Here is a 24385-nt window from a genome sequence, read left to right on the forward strand (position 1 = left end):
TTTGAATTTTTGAAAAAAGATTAATAGGTATTACCTTTGTGATAAAAAACACTGTATCCAGCTGGGCAGTGGCTCATGCCTCCCAGCACTTTGAGAGGCTGAGGCAGGAGGATTACTTGAGGCCAGGAATTTGAGACCAGCCTGGGCAACATAGCAGGAGCCTGTCTCTACAAAAATTTTAAAAAACTAGCTGGGTGTGGAGGGGCGTGCCTATAGTTCTAGCTACTCAAGACGCTGAGGCAGGGGCAGGTGGGGGTGGGTGGATCACTTGAGCCTGGGAGTTCAAGGCAGCAGTGAGCTATGATGGCACCACTGCACTGCAGCCTGGGCAACAGAGCAAGACTGTCTCAAAAAATAAAATAAAATAAAATAAATCCCAGAACAATAGGTTAAATCTCCCAAGATGAAATTCGTAAGCATATTTAAGACGCTAATTTTTTTGCAAGGAAAAATAAGAATATCTTTCTTTCATTCTTTTTAACTTTTATCTTAGATTTGAAGATACATGTGCAGGTTTGTTACTTGGTTATATTGCATGATGCTGAGGTTTGTGGTATGATTGATCCCATCACCCAGGTTCTGAACATAGTACCCATGACAGTAATTTTTGAATCCAATTTTTCTTTTTATTATCTGTGACCTAGAACAAGTTATTTAAAATTTTAAAGCCTTACTTTCCTCATGTAACGGAATGTTAAAATAGGACTCTTCTCTCAGATCTTTCCTGGGTACGTAAAAACATTTAAGAAAAAAAATAAAATAAATATAGCTGGGTGTGGTGGCTGATGCCTGTAATCCCAACATTTTTGGAGGTGAAGGCAGGAGGATTCCCTGAGCCCAGGAGTACAAGACCAGCCTGGGCACTATGGAGAGAACCTGTCTACAAAAAATTAAAAAATTAGTTGAGCATTGTGGTGAGGGCCTGTGGCCTGGGTGACAGTGTGAGACCGTGTCTCTCTCCCTCCCTCCCTCTTTTTTTTTTTTCGATGAGGTCTCACCATGTTGCCCAGCCTGGTCTCGAACTCCTGAGCTCAAGCTATCCTCCCACCTTGGCCTCCCAAAGTGCTAGGATTACAGGCATGAGCCACCATGCCTGGTCAGACCCTGTCTCGAGAGGAAAAAAAAGCCCAGGCGCGGTGGCTCATGCCTGTAATCCCAACACTTTGGCAGGCCAAGATGGGAGGATTGCTTGAGCCCAGGAATTCAAGAATAGCCTGGGCAAGACAGTGAGACCCCTATCTCTACAAAAAATTAAAAAGAATTAGCCAGGCATGGTGGCATATGCATGTAGTCCCTGCTACTGGGGAGGCTGAAGTGGGAGAATCACTTAAACCTGGGAGATAGAGGCTGCGATGAGCTGTGATGGCATCACTGCACTCCAGCCTGAGTGACAGAGTGAGACTCTGTCTCTTAAAAAAAAAAAAAAAAAAGAGAGAGGGGGTCTCACAATGTTGCCCAGGTTGGATCTTGGATCTGAACTCTTGGGCTCAAATAATCCTCCTGTCTCAGCCTCCTGAGTAGCTGGGACTACAAGTGTGTGCCACTGTGCCCAGCAAAAATCAGACTTTTTATTATCTAAGAGTGACCAGATAAGTCACAGGGCTTGCTTCTAAAGCAAGCCATCCCTCTAGAGCAGCTTTGAATGAAAAGCGGAGAAAAGAAAGCCAGTTGTTTTTCCAAATACAACTGTGAGTCCCGCCTGTTCAGTGTATCAACTATATTCATTTCTTTTTTATTTTTTTAAATTTCTTTTTCACCTATATTCATTTCTAATACAACATAATAATAGGGTTTATCTCCTAGGTTGTTGAGAAAGTAACAGAGATAATGCAAGTAAAATGCTCAGAACAGTGTTTGATACAAGGAATGAGGTCATCTTAGACCATCTAGCCCCAGTCAGACTGCCTGATGATTGCAGCGGCATAAGTGATTCCAAGTAAGACTGGCAGGAGAACCACACAGTCAAACTCAACCCAAATCACTGATCCTCAGAACTGAAAGGCCTTGGAGCCAGGTGTGGTGGCTCATGCCTGTAATCCTAGCACTTTGGGAGGCTGAGGCAGGAGGATCCCTTGAGCCCAGGAGTTCAAGACCAGTCTGGGCAACATAGGGAGACCCTGTCTCTTAAAAAAAAAAAAAAAAAAAAGAACCTGATAGACCTTGGAAAAGAGCAGATGCAGAGGGTGCATGAAGAGCAATTGTTCCTGAAAGTACGGTCCTAAAGGATAGGACTCAGGCCAAGAGGTAGATGGAAGAAAGATTTCTTTTCAATATACAGAAGAACTTTAAAAATGAAGTTTCCTGAAGATTAAATAAAGTTCCTTTGAAAGTAGTGAGTTTACTATCACTTGAGTGTTTTGTTTTGTTTTGTTTTAAGCTGGATGACCTTCAAATGTCAGGGATGGTGTAGAATGAATGAATTCAAGTCTTGTATGGGTCCCTTTACCCTTACAGTTTTTGGAACCTAAGAAAACTCTGCACATCAATTTGGCCTGGAAGTTTTGAAAATACTTTCCTTTTATTATTCACTATAGTAACAATTTTAACAGTTTTCTATGAGTTTACAGCAATAAAGATGATTCATTAGAAACGTCTGTCACAGCTATTCCTTTTTGTCCTTTTAGTTTATAAAATTGCAATTAGCCAAGTAAAATTACTTTATCCTTGGGATTTATCAAACACACATATATATACTTTTTTTTTTTTTTGATACAGAGTTTCACTCTTGTTGACCAGGATGGAGTGCAATGGCACAAGCTCAGCTCACTGCAACCTCTGCCTCCCGAGTTCAAGCGAATCTCCTGCCTCAGCCTCCTGAGTAGCTGGGGATTACAGGTGCCTGACACCATGCCCAGCTAATTTTTTGTATTTTTAGTAGAAACGGGGTTTCACCATGTTGGCCAGGCTGGTCTGGAACTCCTGATCCACCTGCCTCAGCCTCCCAGAGTGTTGGTATTACAGGCATAAGCAACGGTGCCCAGCCATATATATATATATATTATATATATATATATAATATATATATAATATATAAATATATAAAATATATATATGTATATATAATATATTTATATATTATATATAAATATTTATACATATATAAATATTAAATATATAGATATTTATACATTTATAAATATTTATATAACTATATATAAATATATATATTTATATATATATTTTAAGAGACAGGGTCTCATTCTGTTGCCCAGGCTGGTGTGTTATGGCACTATGATAGCTCACTGCAGCCTTGAACTCCTGGCCAAAAGCCATCCTTCTGCCCCAGTCTCCCAAAGTGTTGGAATTACAGGCATGAGCCACCATGCCCGGCCTATTCGGAGACTTTAATTTCTAAACCTAGCTCCTTATATGGAAAAAAGTTATAGTAATGAGTTTTAAATAAAATAGCATTCATCATTTCATTTACTTTACATGGGGTAATTATTTTGAATTTTATAATAATGAACACAACGTAGGTAATTTTTGCCGTCAGGCAAATTAGTGAGAAAAGATACATATTTGTGCCTTCTGTTTGGTTAAAATCCATCTCACTGAATGTGTGTGAGCATGACATTGAGTCTGCTAGGAAAAATAATAGTCATTATGATCTTACTTGAATGTTCACCTTTGCCTTTTTGCCCTTTATATCTGGGAGTTTTAAAGATTAAGATTTACTTTCTAGGCCAGGTGTGGTGGCTCATGCCTGTAATTCTAGCACTTTGGGAGGTTGAGGCAGGGCAGATCACCTGAGGTCGGGCGTCCGAGGCGAGCCTGACCAACATGGAGAAACCCCGTCTCTACTGAAAATACAAAATTAGCTGGGAGTGGTGGTGCATGCCTGTAATCCCACCTACTTGGGAGGCTGAGGCAGGAGAATCACTTGAACCTGGGAGGTGGAGGTTGCGGTGAGCCGAGATCATGCCATTGCACTCCAGCCTGGGCAACAAGAGCAAAACTCTGTCTCAAAAAAAAAAAATTACTTTCTATAAGGAAGGCTTACATTTGAATTGGGGCAAGATGAGTTCCCAGCACAAGGCATAGAGAATTAAAATGTTTGTCTTGGCCCAAACTCTTTTCTTTATTTTACTTTGGATTAGGAGTTTTTCTCATGGTTAACAGGCCTCTCTCACATTCCCAAACCCTACCAAACCCTAAGAGGCAGGTTGGGCCTCTCCCTCCCCTGACCTGTCAAGACTCCTCCATATGAAACCTTTTGGACTATTATTATGTGGAAAAAGAGAACTTCCATGAAGGGTCAGGCACTCCTCACTGAAGGATCAGTGGAAGGCACTTCCAGATTTAGGCCTTCCCAACAATGGTGCCCTTTAGGGAGGCTCACTTCACTTTTTTTTTTTTTTTTTTTAAATTTTTGAGACAGGGTCTCGCTCTATCACCCAGGCTAGTGTGCAGTGGCATAATCTTGGCTCACTGTAACCTCTGCCTCCCAGGCTCAAGCAATCTTTTTGTGTAAGCTTCCTGAGGAGCTGGAACCACAGGTGTGCACCACTACGCCCAACTAATTTTTTGGGGGGCGGGTCAAATGAAGCATGTTATTTCATTTCACAAAGACTGTACAAAATTCCTTATAAAACATGGGGTAGATGCCACCTGGTTACCTCACTCGGCCCCCATCCAACTCTGTATGAGGGGGCAGGTGAGGGTGGAAAGTGTGTAGATGGAATAGCATTATGTACAACGCAGGGGTTGAAGTGATAGGTACAAGTTCTTTCATATTTACTGTTTCACATATTCACAGGTATATAGAGAAGCAGCAGGAAGGAGTGAACTCTGGCTCTGTTCTCTTTTATAAAAAAGCACCAATGTCCTGGACTGGACACTCACTGCTATAAAAGATGCAGGGAGGCCCAGGGCCTGGTGGTCACGGACTGATATCCTGACTGGAGTCCCACAACTTGTTGGGTGGCTCAGCCCAAAGGCGGGAGAAGAAAGGATGCTGAAGGGCTTCACCCAAGGTCAGCCGCTGAGCTGGTTCATACTCTAGCATGCTTTCAATCAGATCGAAGAGCTGGTGGTCTTCCTCTGCCTCTGAGGTCAGATACTGCCGCAGCGGTTTGCAGTTCTCACGAACATAGCGTCCAGCTGATGTGTTCTCATCCCAATCCAGGCGACCCCGGTAAAAATATTTCTGTTTTCTTGTCTTTCGGATCATCCGGGAAGGGATAGGACCCAAGATCCTTTCCATCGTGGCTAGATGCTGTCTGTTGTCATGGGTCTGGAAGAGGGTGAAGCCCACATAGTACTCAAAGATGATGCAGCCTATACTCCACACATCACAAGGCTGTGACCAACCCAACTCAAGGATGACTTCTGGTGCTCGGTAATGGCGAGTGGAGACAATGGTGCTATGGTGCTCATGGTCAAAGGTGGCACTGCCAAAGTCTCCCACCCGCACAGCTGTGCTCTTCACACTGCGCTCATGTCGCTTCTTCTCTAGGTTGTAGGTGAGCTCATAGTCTGAATTCACAAACAGAATATTTTCAGGCTTGAGGTCTGTATGTGTCAGCTTGTTATCATGGAGGAACTTGACAGCCTGGCACAGCTGGGAGGCCATGTGGTGCACTTGGTGGATGGGGTAGGGCAGGTGGTTGTTGTCTTTGAGGAAATCGAAGGTGCTAAGGCCCAGAAGCTCCAAGGAGATACACATGTGGCCATGGTAGTCGAACCAGTCAAACATCTGGACACAGAGGTTCTTGCCAGGGTCTTTCTCGTTGATTTTCTCCAGCACTTTGATCTCAAGTCGAGCTGCTTCCTTATACTTCTCCACATTCTTAATGATCTTCAGGGCAACTCGAGCCCCACGCCTGCGATGGTCAACACATTGTACAACTCGGCCGAAGGTCCCCTTTCCTAAGGTGCTGACGATTTCATATCGCTCTTGTAGCCAGTCCCCGACATGGTAGATGAGGTGGCCCTCAGTGTCGTCCTCTACACTCTTGGCTTTCCGGCTGCTGTGCTGCGAAGACGAGCGGCTAAATGTCCGGCTGCACCTCCTCCGGACATGGTAGCTGTCCTCTCGCCGGCGCCGTCGTGTCCGGTCACTACTACTTGACCAGGAACGGCTTCTTCGTTGCTTGTTTTCGGCTCCGATAGTGTTCACAGTAACTCCCCCGGCTGCCTCGCTCTGAGGAATGGTACCTTCGAGGATGAGGCATCTTTCTGGCGGCCAGGCCCGTGCGCTTGTCCCACAGGAAGTCCATGATGGCGGCGGCACTGCGGCCGGAGTCCCAGCACCCCCGCGGCGATGAAGTGCTGCTCCACCCCCACCAACCCGGGACCCTGGGACCTCCAGCCCCGTTCTCGGGCTCTGCTTCAGTCCCGCCCGCCTCTCCTTAACTGTCGGCCTGTTTCCAGTATTGGCGTTTTCAAAAACTCTGATGTAACAATCAGTAGTCCTGGGTATCTGGATTCACTTTGGGGGTTGCTAAAGCAACATGTTCTTCAAAGGAACCGAATAACTGATTTAAGGTGAAGCAAGTAAAAACAATTTAGGTGAAGTTTTTTTTTTTTTTTTAACTTTTGGAAACACTCTGCAAAATATATTTAGAAGCTGAATTACCATGCGATTGGTAATTTGGCCATAATTTGACTTAGCACATTGTGGAAAAGAATAGGAAATCGTCAGGCGAAGTCATTAAATTCTGAAGCTCCCAGGGGATCAGCTTTAGTGCCCTCTGTAAATTATCTGGGAGGGAGAATATGCAAACAATAAGAAAAATATTAAACTTCAGTACAGTACTTTAGTTTCAAAGTACTTTTCTACATATTTCAGGTCCAAAAAACATTATGTAAACAAATTGTTTGGGTACCACCCCCCTCCCTTCTCAGTGCTCTTTCAACAAACCCCACCCTCTCCCCAAAGTCTTCCTCCTGTTCAGAGGCATTCTTGACAGTCAGATAAATGAATGATCCTGAAATCGGATTCAAATTTTAGGAGACTGATCTCAGCTCAGTATTCTCTCCTATCACACCTGTGGTTTGCTGCTGTCCATTTTACTTCTTCCCCCCGACACCGCCTAGATGTAGTCTTGCTCTGTCGCCAAAGCTGGAGTGCAGTGGCTGAATCTCGACTCACTGCAACCTCTGCCTTCTAGGTTCAAGCAATTCTCCTGCCTCAGCCTCCTGAGTAGCTGGGATTACAGGCATGAGCCACCACGCCCGGCTATTTTTTTTTTTTTTTTCAGTAGAGACGGGGTTTCACCATGTTGGCCAGGCTGGTCTCGATCTCCTGACCTCGTGATTTGCCTGCCTTGGCCTCCCAAAGTGCTGGAATTACAGGCGTGAGCCACCGCGTCCAGCCCCATTGTACCTCCATGAGAGCCTAGTCTTGCTTTTAGGCAGCAACTAAACTAACAACTAATTTTTGTATTATTATTTTTTTTTGAGATGGAGTCTCACTCTGTCTTCCAGGCTGGAGTGCAGTGGCGCCATCTTGGCTCACTGCAATCTCTTCCTCCTGGGTTCAAGCAATTCTCTGCCTTAGCCTCTTGAGTAGCTGGGATTACAGGCACCCACCACCACTCCTGGATTTTTTTTTTTTTTTTGTATTTTTAGTAGAGATGGGGTTTCACCATCTTGGCCTGGCTGGTCTTGAGCTCCTGACTTTGTGATCCACCCACCTCAGCTTCTCAAAGTGCTGGGATTACAGGCTTGAGCCACTGTGCCTGGCCTAATTTTGGTATTTTTAGTAGAGATGAGATTTCACCATATTGTCCAGGCTGGTCTCGAACTTCTGGCCTCAAGTGATCCTCCTGCCTGGGTCTCCCAAAGTATGAGGATTAAAAGCGTGAGTCACCATGCCCAGCCCTTATTTATTTATTTATTTATTTTGAGACAGAGTCTTGCTCCATCACCCAGTCTAGAGTGCACTGGCATGATTCTCAGCTCACTGCAACCTCTGCCTCCCAGGTTCAAATGATTCTCCTGCCTCAGCCTCCTGAGTAGCTGGGGATTACAGGTATCTGACAGCATGCCCAGCTAATTTTTTGTATTTTTAATGGAAACGGGGTTTCACCATGTTGGCCAGGCTGGCCTTGAACTCCTGACCTCAGGTGATCAGCCCACCTCCCTTACTTAACTTCTTACTTGTCCTTGTCTCTCTTTCCTACTGTTCTGCTCCAAACTTCAAATTCTCAGAAAAGAGCCTCCTCTGCCTTCAGTAAAGAGCCACTGTTTCCCCACGAGGTTAGTCCGGAGTTCTTTTCATGGGCTCAGGAAATCTGAGGAATACTTCAGGACTGAGCTGTGTCATATTCTGCCTTATAAATAAGAATGTAGGCTGAACATGGTGGCTCACGTGTGTAATCCCAGAACTTTCAGAGGCTGAGGTGGGTGGATCACTTTAAACCAGGAGTTCAAGACCAGCCCGGGAAACATGGTGAAACCCCATCTTTACTAAAAAAATACAAAAAATTAGCTGAGCATGATGGTGTTCACTTGTGGTCCCAGCTGATCAGGAGGCTGAGGAGGGAGGATGGCTTGGCTCTGGCAAGTTGAGACTGCGAGTGAGCCGAGATCACGCCACTGCACTCTAGCCTGGTGACAGAATGAGACCCTGTCTCAAAAAAAAAAAGAAAAAAAAGAAAAAGAAAAAGAAAAAAATATATATGGAAGTAGGTACTCCAATTCCAATTTTTTCTCCCAGTTCAGTTTCTAACTCTTTTCCTCAGAGACAGCCATTAACCTCTGGAAAGGCTATTTTTTCTTGTTACCATGATATTCTGAGCTTGCCTTTTAGGGATAGACTAGTTTCTCCCCTATTATGGCATTGAGGAAGGTGGCACTTTCCTATCTGGGGCCTGATACGAGTTGGCTGTGGTTTTTCTCCTTGATTCCAGAAAGGAATGGCTTCAACTCTGATTGAATTAATTTGAGCAGCTAATTATGTTCTTCTGATTCTAGGTCTTTCTTTGACAGATGAGTGGGCAGAGTTTGGCAATACATCCCATTACTTCTAGGAAAATGGTTTCTAAAGTGAAAAGTGCTATAAAAGACAACAATTATTTTTATTATTCTTATTTTAATCTCTTGAACCTTCCAAATTAATATACTCTTGTCTACCAAGGTGTGGAATAGAATGGAAGTGACAGGAAACTTGAAAGTAGCGTTACATGAATCGTTAGACAGAGGCCAGGAAAACCTCTGTCAGAGAGCCAATCAACATGTATCAAATAGATACAGTGTCCAGAGATTTATGTACTGGGGTTAGCAGAAAAATTCATTCATTCACACTTAATCTTAGCCAAAAGGCTGAGAAGTGATAATTCATTTATTCACAATTTGTTTTTGTTTTTGTTTTGTTTCTATTGCCCAGGCTGGAGTGCAGTGGCGTGATCTCGGCTCACTGCAACCTCTGCCTCCTGGGTTCAAGCAATTCTCCTGCCTCAGCCTCCTGAATAGTTGGCATTACAGGCACTGCCACCACGCCCAGCTAATTTTTGTATTTTAGTAGAGACTGGGTTTCGCTATGTTGACGAGGCTGGTCTTGAACTCCTGATCTCAGGTGATCCACCGGCCTCGGCCTCCCAAAGTGCTGGGATTAAAGGTGTGAACTATCATGCCTGGCCATTCACTATTTATTTATTTATTTATTTATTTATTTATTTATTTATTTATTGAGACGGAGTCTCTGTCACCCAGGCTGGAGTGCAGTGGCGCGATCTCGGCTCACTGCAAGCTCCGCCTCCCGGGTTCACGCCATTCTCCTGCCTCAGCCTCCCGAGTAGCTGGGATTACAGGCGCACGCTGCCATGCCTGGCTAATTTTTTGTATTTTTAGTAGAGACGGGGTTTCACCGTGTTAGCCAGGATGGTCTCAATCTTCTGACCTCGTGATCTGCCCGCCTTGGCCTCCCAAAGTGCTGGGATTACAGGCGTGAGCCGCCGCGCCCGGCCCAATGTATTTATTGAGTGCCACTACAAGTGTTTGGAAACAGTGAATAGTGAGGTGTTTAGAATCAAATATAGGCCATTGGCTTAACATACATACTTTAGCATAAAGGACCATTGCATAAGTTACTTGTTTCAGTGTCTTTCTTTAATGCTTTAGTGTGCTTACAATGATAATAGTGGATGCAGAACCTGTGGATACGGACAGCCAACTGCGAGACTTGAGCATCCGCAGATTCTGTTATCCTATGGGGTCCTGGAATCAATCCCCCATGGATACCAAGGGACGGCGGTACTGTGAAAACTACTTTATACACATCAGCTCACATTCTCATTGTAATCCTCACAATATCCTTTTGATGTACTCTTATTACTGACACTTTGCAGATGGGAAACGGAGGCTTAGAGAGGCTATGGAGCTTGCCCAAGGTTACACAGTTGTAGGTCTTAGAATTGAATGAAGGCAATCTGACTCCAGACCCCTACTATTTTATTTTTTAAACTGGGAAACGTAACACATATGTGGAAAAATGCATAAACAATAAATACATACTCTAATGAATTATTACAAAGCCCACAGCAGTGTAACTACCACCCATACCAAGGAATAGAAGATTTGTAGAATTACAACCCCACTTCCTCTTTGCAGTCTCAAATCCCTCCTCACAGGGCTCCTTTGGTCTCAGAGGTAGCCACTAACCTCCCTTTTATGATGATCAATTCCTTGCTTTTCTTTACAGTTTTAACACCTAAGTATACATCCTTTTTTCCTGTTTTTGAACCTTACAAAAATGGAATAACACAGTATATATTATTTTGTGAATAGTTTCCTTTTCTTAATATTAAGTTTTTAAGATTCATCTCTATTGTCGAATGTAGCTTGTTCCTTTTTCCGAACTGCTGTATTAGTTTACTTTACCTATGGCAAAGTATGAGAATTACCATTGCTCCACTGTGATCAACATTTGTAATCGTCAATCTTTTTCTGTTTTAGCCATTCTGGTGGGTGGCGTGTTATTCTCTCATTGTGATTTAAATTTTCTTATCCTCATATGAGGTTGATGCTTTTTCATATGTTTATCGGTTATTTGGATTTCTTCCTTAGTTAAGAGCCTGTTCAGCTCTTTTTCTTTTTTTTTTTTTGAGACCAAGTCTCACTCTGTCGCCCAAGCTGGAGTTGGAGCTCAGTGGTGTGATCTCAGCTCACTACAACCTCCGCCTCCAGGGTTCAAGTGATTCTCCTGTCTCGCCCTCCCGAGTAGCTGGGACTACAGGTGCGTGCCACCACACCCGGCTGATTTTTTTTATTTTTAGTAGAGACGGGGTTTCACCATGTTAGCCAGGATGGTCTCAATCTCCTGACCTCGTGATCCGCCCGCCTCGGCCTCCCAAAGTGCTGGGATTACAGGTGTGAGCCACCGCGCCCGGCCAGCTCTTTTTCTTTTTCTTTTCTTTTCTTTCTTTCTTTTTTGAGACAGTGTCTTGCTCTGTCGTACAGGCTGGAGTGCAGTGGCGTGATCTCTGCTTACTGCAACCTTGGCTTCAGGCATGCATCAGCACATTGGGCTAGTTTTTGTATTTTTAGTAGAGACAGGGTTTCGCCATGTTGCCCAGGCTGGTCTTGAACTCCCGGCCTCAAGTGATTTGCCCACCTCGGCCTCCCAAAATGCTGGGATTACAGGTGTGAGCCACCGTGCTCGGCCTGAACTCTTTTTCTTAATGATTATAGTTCTTTATATATTCTAGATACAAGACCTTTCTTGGTTATACATGTTGCAAATTTCTTTCTTTCTCTCTCTCTTTCTTTTTGATGGAGTTTCGCTCTTATCACCCAGGCTGGAGTACAATGGCGCGACCTCGGCTTACTGCAACCTTCGCCTCCCGGGTTCAAGCAATTCTCCTGCCTCAGCCTTCTGAGTAGCTGGGATTACAGGTGCCCGCCACCACACCCGGTTAATTTCTGTATTTTTAGTAGAGACAGGCTTTCACTATGTTGTCCAGGCTGGTCTCAAACTCCTGGCCTCAGGTGATCCACCCGCTTTGGCCTCCCAAAATGCTGGGGTTATAGGAGTGAGCCACTGCATCTGGCCCATATTGTAAATTTCTTAATCATCTGTGAGGCTTGCCTTTTAACTCTTTTAATGGTGTAATTTGATAAAACCAAGTCTTAATGTTTTTTTTTGTTTTTGTTTTGTTTTGTTTTGTTTTGTTTTGTTTTGAGACAGAATCTCGCTCAGTCACCAGGTTGGAGTGCAATGGCGCGATCTCAGCTCACTGCAACCTCTGCCTCCCGGGTTCAAGCAATTCTCCTGCCTTAGCCTCCTGAGTAGCTGGGATTACAGGCATGCACCACCTTGCCCAGCTAATTTTTGTATTTTTGTAGAGATGGGGTTTCACCATGTTGGCCAGCTGGTCTTGAACTCCTGACCTCAGGTGATCCGCCTGCCTCAGCCTCCCTAAATGCTGGGATTACAGGCGTGAGCCATTGAGCCTGGCTGTCTTAATGTTAATGTGGTCAAATTTACCTATTTTCCTATTATAGGTAGTGCTTTTTGGATTCGTTTAAAAAGTCTGTCCCCTTACCCTTGAGATCAATATACTGTTTTATTATCTTTAAAAACAATAAAAGCATTATTTCTTTTTTTTCCTTCTCACTTTAAAGTCTGCAGATAGATAGCTTCATTCTTCTGCCTTTAAAATTTATGTTTCAGCTGGGCATCATGACTCACTCCTGTAATCCAGCACTTTGGGAGGCCGAGGCAGGAGTTTGAGACCAGCCTGGACAACACAGCAAGATCCCGTCTCTTAAAAAAAATTACTTGGGCTTGGTGGCACATGCTGGTAGTCCTAGCTGCTTGGGAGGGTTGCTTGAGCCCGGGAGTTTGAGGCTGCAGTAAGCTATGATCACAGCACTACACTTCAGTCTGGGCAACAAAGCGAGACCCTGTCTCTTAAAAATAAAAAAAGTGTCTGTTAGTTACCTGAAATTGACTTTTGTGTATAATGTGAAGAGTCCAATTTCATTTCTTTTCCAAATAGAGCACTATTTGTTCCAGTGCCATTCAATCATTGAAAAGTGTTCTTTAGGTGTTGCTTTGCATTGCCAGGCAGTCTCAAACTCCTGGGCCCAAGTGATCCTCCTGTCTCAGCCTCCCAAATAGCTGGGGCTACAGGTGTGCACCACCACACCCAGGTCACTGGGCTCTCTATTCTGTATTACTGGTAGATTTGTCTATTTTTGATCTCCTTCCACACTGCCTTAATTACTATGAAAGTTGACAGTATCAAAATGGAATCATTTGTGTAAAAATTCCCCAAAGACCCTGACAAATACAGCCAGGAAACCTAAGAAGAGAGCATTCTCACACTTGCATGCCTGATAACAAAATTACCACAGAAGACTCTGGAAAATCACAACATTAACAATGGTCATTGTAACCTTACACAAAACGTACTTCTATGAGGATATCTGCTCAGCAATTGTCTGTCTAACCTCAGACTCGAGCCACCCTTGTTATTATAGATTCTTGTAGCCAAGGATAATTTCAAAACAATTATGTAATGCCCCTAATTTTTCCTGTAAAAACCTTTGTCTTCCTTTACCTCCTTGAATACACACATAGTTTACTGTGGCATGTGTATTCCCATTGCAATGCCCTATTCCCAAATAAACATATTTTTCTTTTAGAGAGCCTCTCTCTGTTGTTTAGGTTGACACAAATGGTGCCAGAAACAGGACCTGAAAAAAGATCACTATCACAAGGAACTGACAGTTCTTGAATCTGGTGCAGTACTCATTTCAGTTCTCTGCTTCCATGGCTCACTTTTTCTGCCCTGATGAGTCTTCTCTAAGACCACGCCCCCTTCTTTATGGTAGAAGCTCTTGACTTTATTTGGGGTCTGATTTGAATAAGGCAGCCCTAAATAAAGGACTTTACATCCCTCCTGGGATTAAACAAAGACTTTTTGTATTTTCTGGGAAGTCTTTTCTGATTTCTACAGAATTTCCATTCTGTCTGTGAGGCATATCTTTTCTGATGAATTTACTTTTGGTCTGTGTGCCTACTTTAATATTTTGTCTGATCCACATGCCTGGGTTAAAATTTTTATGAACTTTCTTGGTTTTATTTTGGTTACATGCAACTTTTTTGTTGTTCTTTTCCCTTTATGTTGCTCTTTTCCCTTGCTTGTTTCTGAAAATCTTCTGAGAGCAAAAATAAACATTCTTTTAGAATGGACACATTCTAAATGATGGACACAGGATGGCTAAGTAAAAGCCACTAGAGTGGTTGCTACCATCAAATACATTGGTCCAAACTTATGACATTCTGACAAGATTGATAATTTTCTTTGCTCTTGAGAGATTGATAAGTAATGTAATGGGGTTTTCTTAATTTTTCTTTCTTTCTTTTTTTTTTTAAGAAACAGAGTCTCACTCTGTCTCCCTGGCTGGAGTTCAGTGATGCAATCATAGATCATTGCAGCCTTGAACCCCTAGGCTCAAGTAGCTAGGACTACAGGTACACGCCACCATGCCCAGCTACTTTTTTTGTTTTGTTTTGTTTTGAAGAGACGGTGTTTCACTATGTTGCTCAGGCTGTCTCAAACTCCTGGCCTCAAGAGATCCTCCTGCCTTAGCCTCCCAAAGTGTCAAGATTATAAATGTAAGCCACTGTACTCTGCCTGGGATTTTCAAACATTAAGGCATGCCAAGTTTTCTGGGACTCCAACCAGCTATATTTGATGGCCCATTCTCATGCACACTTAAAAAACTGATGGGTTTATGAAACGTTACAACAGGTCTCACTTAATCCTTCATGGTCATTTCATTTATTCAGCTGGTTAAGCCTAGGTTCATGGCTCAAAACTATTAAGCAAACTGAGATTATCATTTTACTTTATATTTTTCCTTTTTTAAACTTTGTATCTGTTACTTGTTAAATTTTTGCAGAAGTATAGGTCTTAACAAAATAATGCTGGGCCAGCACTTTGAGATGACAGCCAAAGACTATAGACCTCAATAATAAACTCCAGGTAGACTTAGCCTGAGAGCCATTTTCTTCAAACCTCCCTTATTGCCCAAATATGGCTTAATGGTTTTTGACACTGACTCATCACCAATCACTCCCCACAATGAGGGAAGAAACCAGCAACCAGGACAGGTTCAACCTGGCCTCCAGGGACATCAGAATGTAACTACAAAATGACTGATCAGTGATGCATTCTGAGAAAGCTCTTGATCAAAAAAGGGAAATGTGAAAATTGTCAGAATCAAAATGGAGTCACTTGTGTTAAAAACAAAACACCCTGACAGAGCTGGGGAAGGCTAAGAAGGGAAGGCTTTCACATGTGTATACCTGATAACTAAACTATTGCAAAAGACTCTGCAAAAACCACAACCTTACATAAAGACCACTGCAACCTTACACAACAAGTACTTCTGTGTGGACATCTGCCCAGCAACTGCCTGTTGAACCTAGAACTGGAGTCACCCTTATTATTGATCCTTGTAGCCAAGCATAATAATTTCAAAGCAATTATTTAATCCTCCTCATTTTTTCTTTGTCTTCCTTTACCTCCCTGAATACACACAGAGTTTACTGTGGCATGTATATTCCCATTGCAATGCCCTATTCTTAAGTGAGTGTCTTTTTCTTTTAGAGGTCCTATTATTTAGGTTGACAGCTTTAAAATAAAGCTTGTTTTTGTTTTGTTTTGTTTTGTTTTTGAGGAAGAGGCTTGCTGTCGCCCAGGCTGGAGTGCAGTGGCACAATTATGGCTCACTGCAGACTCCACCTCCTGGGCTCAAAGTGATCCTCCTGCCCCCAGCCTCTTGAGTAGCAGGGACTATAGGTGCATGCCACCACAACTGGCTGACTTTGGTATTTTTTTGGGGGGTACAGATGGGGTTTTGCCATGTTGCCCAGGCTGGTCTTGAACTCCAGGCTCAAGCAATCCACTTGCCTCAGCCTCCCGAAGTGCTGAGATCATAGGCATGGGCCACCGTGCCTAGTCTATAATAAAGCTTGTTATCCGGTAGCACAAGTTTTCCTCCTCCCACTCCTTCTCCTCTTCTTTTTTTTTCTTCCTCCTCTTCCTCATGAATGCTTGTCTTTGCTCTTCCATAACATTTTGAATTAGCTTGTCAAGTTTCTCACACATACACAGAAATTTATTGAGATTTTGTTGGGAATTGCACTGGCTCTGTAGGTAGGTTTGGAGAGACTTGGCATTTTTCAGTATTGACTCTTCCAATTTATGAACATGTTACATCTTTATTTAGGTCTTCTTCAGTGTCTTCCAATGTTTTCTTCAGGCAGGTTTTGCATTTCTTTGATCGATTTATTCCTAGGTACTTGATATTTGTTTGGAGCTGTTGGAAATGGTATCTTTAAAAAAATTATCTTTTTTACTAGCATATATAAATAAATATTGATTTTTTAAAATATGATTTTTGTATCTATTAACCTTGTTAAAAACTTTTATTGTTAACAGTTTATCTGCAGATTGTTTTGAAGTGCCACAAACAATTTTTTTTTTTTTTTGAGACGGAGTTCTGCTCTTGTTGCCCAGGCTGGAGTGCAGTGGCGCGATATCAGCTCACTGCAACCTCCGCCTCCTGGGTTCAAGCAATTCTCCCGCCTCAGCTCCCCGAGAGGCTGGAATTACAGGCGTCCGCCACCTCGCCCTGCTAAGTTCGTATCTGTAGTAGAGACGGGGTTTCACCATGTTGGCCAGGCTGGTCTCGAATTCCCGACCTCAGGTGATCCTCCCGTCTTGGCCTCACAAACTGCTGGGATTACAGGCATGAGCCAACGGCGCCCGGCCTCCACGTACATAATTACATAATCTATGAAAAAATAATTTTGTTTCTTCCTATTTAATCTTCAATCCTTTTATTTTTCTTGCCTCACTCCACTGGCTAAGGACCTTTGGCTTCAATAATGGGTAGTCTCATCTGTAGCACACTTAATCATCACTAAGCTTTCCCAGCCTCAGGTCAATAGTATTAGGAGGTTGGTTCCTCACCGGAGGGTCGGGAACAAGACGCCAGAGCCCTTCTTCCAGCGCCTGCAGCGAGTTAAGGCCGAGGGTATGCCTCTGGCGGGCTCATCTTCCAACACAGAAGACCCCGCCGCCCTCTCTGGTTGCCGCGCAGCTGCGTCGTTCTGACCCAGGGTAGGTGCAGGGCGGCTGGAAGCACGTGCCGCCGCTTCCTCATTCTGGGACTACATCCCCCACAATGCCGCGCGCCGCGGGCGGCTGGCCCCCGAGTGCGGGAAGGGCCGGCAGGGAGGCGGAGCGGAAGCCGAGTGCGAGGGACGAGCGGAGTAAAATCTCCACAAGCTGGGAACAAACCTCGTCCCAACTCCCACCCACCGGCGTTTCTCCAGCTCGATCTGGAGGCTGCTTCGCCAGTGTGGGACGCAGCTGACGCCCGCTTATTAGCTCTCGCTGCGTCGCCCCGGCTCAGAAGCTCCGTGGCGGCGGCGACCGTGACGAGAAGCCCACGGCCAGGTAATGAGTAAGGGGCGAGTCCGCCAGCCGGGCCCGCACCTCTCGCGCGCCCCTCAGCCTAGCCGGCCGCTCCTCCCCCGCCGCGCCCCCGTCCCCGGTCCCCGCCCCGCTAGGGCCGCTGCTGCGGAAACCCGGCTTAGGAACGGGCCGGCAGCCTCCGGCCGCGGCCGGGAAGGCTCTTTGTCCCTTCCTTTGGGCCGCGTCTCTGCCCCTCCGCGTCTGACAGCCGCGGCGCCTCGGCTCGGGCGGAGAGCCGAGCGTGGCTGGGGCTGCGCGAGTCGAGCGGGGCGGGCTTGGTCCGGAGCTGCGGGATGTAGATCCCGGGCGGCACCGCACTCACTTCTTTTTCTGTTTTTGACAGCTCAGTTCTCTTCTACTTTGGGAGAGAGAGAAAGTCAGATGCCCCTTTTAAACTCCCTCTTCAAAACTCATCTCCTGGGTGACTGGTAAGGATGAACTTAAACTGCCGTGTTGATTGTTGACTGTGACGGTAATGAGAATGGCTCAGCCAGCTAGGGTTCGAATCCTGCCTGGGTTTCTCTCACTGCCTGCCTTGGTGATCTTGGTTACTTAAAGGCTCTAAGCTTGAGTTTTCTCATCCATCAAAACACACACCTGTAAGTGGTTAGAATTAGGAATATAGACCTATAACGTCATTAGTTCTTCATTTGATGAAAAGATCCTTTGTGATACTTTCATTAGCTATGACTGAAGTGACCGAAGTGGCCTCTGGACTTGAGTTTTGTGCTTTTGTTTGTTTAATCATCCTGGGTTGTGTGTTCTTCACTTTATCTTAAACCTAACCAAAGGATTCATTAAAATATGCCGTCTTCCTAATTTTTGCTGTTTTAAGATGGCTGAGAATGTTCTTAGGAAATTGATGACTCTGCTTTTCTGTGGATCAGCTTCAGAGGTACAAGTATTCACCTCTCCCCTCCCCCTCAGGTGTGTCCTTTGGGAATCCTTAGAGGCGCTAAGTGTTTGTTTCGTCAGAGTAGGCATCCAGGTATTTTACAGTCCTGCCTCTGGGCTTCACCATATTTAACCTGGGTCAACTTTTTTCTACATCTGTCTGCATCTTCTCACTGATTAATAATTTCTCACTCTAAAATGTGTTGCAAAAATACTTGTTTTGAGGAAAATGTTTCTATGTTGGTGTTATTTAGTGCAGTGTAGGACAGAGAGTAATGGCTACGGAAATAGGAGTCCTTAGTTTTGTCCTTGCTCTGTCACTATCTGTGTAACCTGAGATTACTTTGTGGTCCTCAATGTCCTCATCTCTAAAATAGTGAATTGGTCTGATTCCAAGGACTCTTCTAGCTCAGACTTTCAATGATAAAGGTTTTTAGAGGTTTTTTTTTAAATGTGGAAACAAAATTTGTGTAAACCCTTTTAGTCATTTGTGTTCTTAGTGTTTCTTCCTGCTTCAGGTCATATAATTCTTTCAAACTACCTTGAAAGAAGGAATACATTTAAGAGAACAAGAAAGCTGCCAGAAATAAGAATCTCTACCAGCCAGTTATCACTCTCTCATGAGCTGCACAGTTTCTCTGCATTTTTGACATGCTTTGTTCTCTTTCTCCCTACTCTGTATCTTTTGCTCATAGCCCCTATACCTGTTGTGCCTGATTCTTCATAACTTTAGCTTGTCAATCCCCTCATCCAACTTTATTATTTATTTTCATGACTTCTCCTTCAGCTCCTTCTGCCAACTGCCTGGTTTTCCCTGGGGCCTCTTTGTTTGAGGCCAGAGATGCTAGCCTAGTTGGCTTTGGAAGGGGAGGTGGGGACATGTGGCACAAAACATGATTGGCCACGGCTGTGACAGGTGAAGCTCTGTGATTGAAGTATCTAGTGCTGCATAGTGTGTGTCTATGTATATGTATATATATAGGTTTTGTTGTTTTTTTTTTTTGAGACAGAGTCTTACTCTGTCACCCAGGCTGTAGTGCAGTGGTGCTGGCTCACTGCAACTTCTACCTTTTGGGTTCAAGCAATTCTTGTACCTCATGCCTGGCTAATTTTTGTAGTTTTAGTAGAGACAGGGTCTCACCATGTTGGTCAGGCTGGTCTTGAACTTCTGACCTCAAGTGATCTGCCTATGTCAGCTTCCCAAATGGTGGGATTATAGGTGTGAGCCCTGGAGCCCGGCCTGCATAGTTTATTTTATTGCATATTTTAGTTTAGTTAGTTTAGTTTGAGACAGCCTTGCTCTTTCACTCAGCTTGGAGTGCAGTGGTGCGATCTCTGCACACTGCATCCTCTACCTCCCAGGTTCAAGCGATTCTTGTACCTCAGCCATCCAAGTAACTGGGTTTACAGGCATGCACCACCATGCCTGGCTAATTTTTGTATTTTTAGTAGAGATGGGGTTTCACCATGTTGACCAGACTGGTCTTGAATGCCTGACCTCAAGTGATCCGCCCTCTTCAGCCTCCCAAGGTGCTGGGATCACAGGCATGAGCCACCACGCCAGGCCATATTTTAAATTAAACTTTTACTGTAGCATAATGGTTAGTTTTCTTTTTGCCTTAACATTTTCTGTTTTTATCCCTGCCTCACTTTACCATTTTTCTTTTATCTGTTTTTGTAATATTCAGTGCTATTGTCTTCTATTCTGTCTCCCAAATGTGCCATCTAAAAATGATCTGATATCTTGACACTCATTATTTCCGTATCTTAGCTGGAATTTTAGTGTAGCTTCTCTCAAGGCAGTGCATTTTAAATCTTAGACCTTATTATGGAGCGAATGGCTGTGTTCTGTGTTAACCCCCCCCCCCCCACCACCATATTAGCCTCAGGCAGTGTTACATAGAGAAAATATTTTAGGAATGCCCCTTTTTCCCTGAAATTACATTCCGGGGTCAAGTCTGTGGAGGACTTTTTTTTGGGTCGTTTTTGGAGAGAACTATTTGAACCTCTGAGCTGTGGTGAACATACTGTGTCTTTTTGTAGTAAATCTATGCCTCTCTAGCTGAAATTCCTTTGGAGACTAATAGGCAGTAGTTCTTCTAGTACCTTTGGCTGAGTGAAAGCTTCTCTGCCTGCTAGTTGCTGCTATTGCTGTTGATAGTTACTTTAGCTATAGTTATAATGGCACAAAATGTAGAGCACTGAATAGATGCAAAAATGAGATTTGAATGAGAGATTTTAAGGTATGATTAGCCATCTATTTGTGTTTTTAATATTGCTGTTGCTATGTTTGCATAAAATACAAGGAAGTACTTCATGACAGATGACAGGGAGTGTGAAATGCAGTATTTTTTAAACTTTTTTGTTACAATCCGTAGTAAGAGATCTTTTTATAGCAAGACTCCATTGATGGCTGAGTATGGTTGTGTGCACCTGCAGTCAGTCCTAGCTACTAGGGAGGTAGAGGTGGGAGAATCATGTGGGCCCAGGAGTTTGAGACTGGCCTGGGCAACATAGTTAGATCTCATATCAATAATTAAAAAAAAAAAAAAAGACTCCATACACGTGTAACTGTGTGTGCATAGGCTGGACTCAGTGGCTCATGCCTGTAATCCCAGCGCTTTGGGAAGCTGAGGCAGGAAGATCGCCTGAGCTCAAGAGTTTGAGACCAGCCTGGGCAACATAGTGAGACCTTGTCGCTGCTAAAAATAAAATTTGTCAAGTGTAGTGGCACACACCTGTAGTCCCAGCTGCTTAGGAGGCTGAGGCAGGGGCAAGGGTGGGGGCCTCTTCAGTCTGGGAGATCAAGGCTCAGTGAGCTATGGCCACTGCATTCTAGCCTGGGCAACAGAGCCAGACCTTATCTCAAACAGCAACAACTGTGTATGCATGCATATGTCTGTATATGTAAAAATAAACTGGAAATTTAACAAAACAAAATTGGTAGTGTGTACGGTCTACTCTGATGGTTTCTATTTTATCTTGTGTTTTGAAAATTGCTCATTGCAAACTGTTGATTTTGTTCCCTGCTTTTGAAAAACAGTGGAGTCCTGTGCTGAAAGTTTGGATGCCTAACGTTTCTCTGTATGTTTGACTTTGAGTAGTCATTAATTCTCTTTGTGCTTCATTTTCCTTATCTTTATAATGAAGTTGTTCTAGTTTAAATATTTGCTGATTCTTTGTTTGATTTAATTAATTAATTAAATTTTGAGATAGAGTCTCTGTCACCCATAGCTCATTGAAACCTGGCACTCCTGGGCTTGTGTAGTAGTCCTCCTGCCTCACCCTCCAGAGTAGCTGGGACTACAGGTGCGCACCACCATGCCCGGCTAATTTTTATTTTTTTTTTGTAGTGACTGCGTCTTGCAGTGTTGCCCAGGATGGTCTTGTACTTCTGGCTTCAAGAAGTCCTCCCACCTCAACCTTGTAAAGTGCTGGGATTACAAGTGTGAACCACCATGCCCAGCCTGTTTTACTTTTCTCTGGAAATAATGTTGGACTAAAGACAAGCACATATCTTTATGTCTGTGGCTAGGGAGAAACCACTGAAAAATGGCTTAAATATTTGGTTGTTTACATATACATAGTGTGCTGTTTGTCAAGTAGCATAATGGAGCTTGGAATAGCACTTTTCTCCGAAGATCTTGTAAAGTGGAGTGGACATGTTAATGCCTGTAATAAATATACAAATTTAGAAAAAAAATTTATCCATGTTTTTCTACTTTTGTGTTTCTTAACAGGGAATATTTTGGAGTTTGAAAAATTATATTTAAAATGCTTAATACAAGTTTTAAGTAAATGCACTGACAGATTGCTACCTAGACCTTATTTCGTATCTGATCTTGCCACTGCCCCTTTCAGATTAGAGAACACCAATAAGAATATATTTTTCTTTGTAAACACCACCATATCAGATCATTACTATTCCTGTATATTACCAAATAGTGGAACTGCCATTTTCTTAAGACAGGGGAACACAAAGCTTTCTTTGCTTGTGGGTTTCCTTCTGTTCAGTTTGTATGATTTCTCCAGACCAGGCCATTTCATGCTGTGCTTTGGGAGCCTTCTCATTCTCATTTGTTTGTACTGAGGAAAATAGGAATAAGGAATTTGTTGACTGCTCCCGAGATTCTGGTAAAAGAAGAATTCTAAAGGTTTTGTTGGAAGGAAATTGGAACCAGACTTTGTACTTCCTCCTCTTTCTGAAATCAGATATTACCCCCTCATTATTCTTTGACCTCACACCTCAGGCAGATGTTCCAAGACACATCACCATTTTTTTTTTTTCTTCATAGCAGTTTATCACAAACTGAGATAACTTGTTTGTTTGCTTGTTTGTTGTCCCGTTCCTATTAAAATAGTATCCAGAAAAACAGGAATCCTGTCTTTCATATCTTGCTTTACCTTTCACATCTATGGTTCCTGGCACATGGTAGGTACTTTGCTATTGTGAATGAATTAGTGAACAAATGAATGAGTAAACCAAGTTCTTTCATGCCTTAAATAGAACTGCATGTAGTAAAGGTTGTGTTTGAGCCTAGGCCTTTATGCACTGCCCCCCACCCTCCACCTCCAATTCTTTTTTCTGGAAGTGTGTTATCACTATGTTTACTGATCATGGTGAAGGTCTCTACCTTTAGAAGACTTTGTGTTTATCTTTGTTTTACTTCATATGTTTTTATCTTCTAGTTTTTTGCCTGTATAAAAACTAACATATAAGACTTCCGAAATCCTTCTTGTAGCAACTTTATAATACTTTGATTTATGTGAATACAGTTTACTTGAAACTTTAAGAGCCAGCTTAATAATTTAGTGAATAGTTCAAATTAGGCATCTTCAGGATCATTGTCCTAAACTGCCATTACTATTTTCTGGTTACATTCTTTTAAAGCAAAAAAGAACAAAACTTCATTTAATACAGTTTATTCCGTATTTACAAACACAATCTTTCTAGGGGAAGTAAGGAAGGTAGTGTGGTGTAGAGAAAACCCTAGACAGTGAGTCAGGACCTGTATTCTGGACCAGTAGGATTTCTGCCATTAACTGGGTTTCATTTTTAGGCAAGACACTTAACATCTCTGGGCTTCAGTTTCTTTATCTGAAATGCGAGGGAAATGGATTAGGTTTCTTCTCAGGTTCTTCCAGTCTAGAAAAGGATAATTGAAGGTACTTTACCCCCAAATTTCTATCCTCTGGTCCTCTACCCCAAAACTCATTGCAGAGAGGTCACATTGCTGCGTGGGAGAAGGTGGGGTTAGGTTCAGGGATGTGTTTTAAAGTAAACATAAGGCATTTCTCAGTGACGGCTGATTGTTCACTAGGCTCTGTGGGGGATGTGGCAGCAGTGTAAGGCTTGTTGTTCTTGCCCATAAGGGACCTGGGACTTAATCAGGGAGACATGGCTTACACACATGCTTGGATGTGTGATATATAAAATTAATTGGTATGAAGTAACATGCTGTGGGAGTTAGAAGAAGATCAGTGTGGGGTAGAATAAGGTAAGGAGGTTTTGAAATCATTCTATCCGAGGTAAGATTTAAACAGGTATTTTACCTCGTCTCCTTTCAGACTACTTGGAAGATGAACTGTTCTCATCAGCAACATGCTATTATGTCATCTTTTAGGACTAGGTAATGCTCCAGTGACTTAATACCAATGACATTTTCATGTTGTCCACAAATTCTGAGTAGAAACCTTTTCAAGCCTGTAGCCTCTCTGAGAGCTGACTGTTATTAACTGAATGAGAGGATGTCAGCAAACAGGTAAGACACATGCTGGGTAAATAAAATTATCATATAAATGTAAGATATAATTATTACTATTGTATGAAGCAGAGAGAAGACTGGCTGGATTGGAGGAGATATTTTTGTGACTAATGAGAAATAAACTTGGTCTTTGGAGACTGGGTTGTGGAGGCCCATGAGAGCTAATCAGGAGTTTTATTTGAGTCTGTTAAGACATTTCCTGTATTACCTAATGTTACTCAGATTACCAAGAATTAGTAGCATTGTTGCATAAATGCCTGACACTAATGATAAAGATTAATATTT

General features: G+C 43.2%; 1 protein-coding gene, 1 long non-coding RNA gene and 1 pseudogene across 4 annotated transcripts in view, besides 3 other annotated features; 1 reads left to right on the forward strand and 2 right to left on the reverse strand.

The window, feature by feature from the left end:
* Window positions 780–971: a silencer, noted in NCBI's record as "fragment chr7:23620581-23620772 (GRCh37/hg19 assembly coordinates)". NCBI's record gives its function as "represses an EF-1alpha promoter that drives an FKBP-Casp9 reporter gene in an ReSE screen in phorbol 12-myristate 13-acetate-treated (for megakaryocytic differentiation) K562 erythroleukemia cells {active_cell/tissue: K562(+PMA)}" and the evidence as "EXISTENCE:reporter gene assay evidence [ECO:0000049][PMID:32094911]".
* CLK2P1 (CDC like kinase 2, pseudogene 1) lies at window positions 4534–6345 on the reverse strand (annotated as a pseudogene). Its single transcript, NR_002711.3, has one exon. The product of NR_002711.3 is annotated as a CDC like kinase 2, pseudogene 1 (transcript).
* Window positions 6346–6511: 166 nt separating this feature from the next.
* On the reverse strand, window positions 6512–17143 carry LOC105375187 (uncharacterized). Its single transcript, XR_927098.2, has 2 exons — window positions 16935–17143; window positions 6512–6703 (listed from the first exon to the last, which is right to left on the reverse strand). It is a non-coding gene; the product is annotated as an uncharacterized LOC105375187 (long non-coding RNA).
* Window positions 13560–13609: an enhancer, noted in NCBI's record as "active region_25738". NCBI's record gives its function as "activates an Ori minimal core promoter by ATAC-STARR-seq in GM12878 lymphoblastoid cells {active_cell/tissue: GM12878}" and the evidence as "EXISTENCE:reporter gene assay evidence [ECO:0000049][PMID:35858748]".
* A 56-nt stretch (window positions 17144–17199) lies between the features above and the next one.
* The window catches only part of CCDC126 (coiled-coil domain containing 126), a 47327-nt gene continuing 40141 nt past the window's right edge, over window positions 17200–24385 (forward strand). The window contains exons 1-3 of one of the 2 annotated variants that reach the window (XM_017012775.3): window positions 17200–17423; window positions 17785–17869; window positions 23904–24097. The gene's annotated coding sequence lies outside the window, so the exon portion shown is untranslated. The remainder of the gene's footprint in view (window positions 17424–17784; window positions 17870–23903; window positions 24098–24385) is intronic. The other variant, NM_138771.4, reaches the window with a different exon arrangement.
* Window positions 17442–17681: a silencer, noted in NCBI's record as "silent region_18014". NCBI's record gives its function as "represses an Ori minimal core promoter by ATAC-STARR-seq in GM12878 lymphoblastoid cells {active_cell/tissue: GM12878}" and the evidence as "EXISTENCE:reporter gene assay evidence [ECO:0000049][PMID:35858748]".

Source organism: Homo sapiens, chromosome 7 (assembly GCF_000001405.40).
Source record: "Homo sapiens chromosome 7, GRCh38.p14 Primary Assembly".
Taxonomy (NCBI): domain Eukaryota; kingdom Metazoa; phylum Chordata; class Mammalia; order Primates; family Hominidae; genus Homo; species Homo sapiens.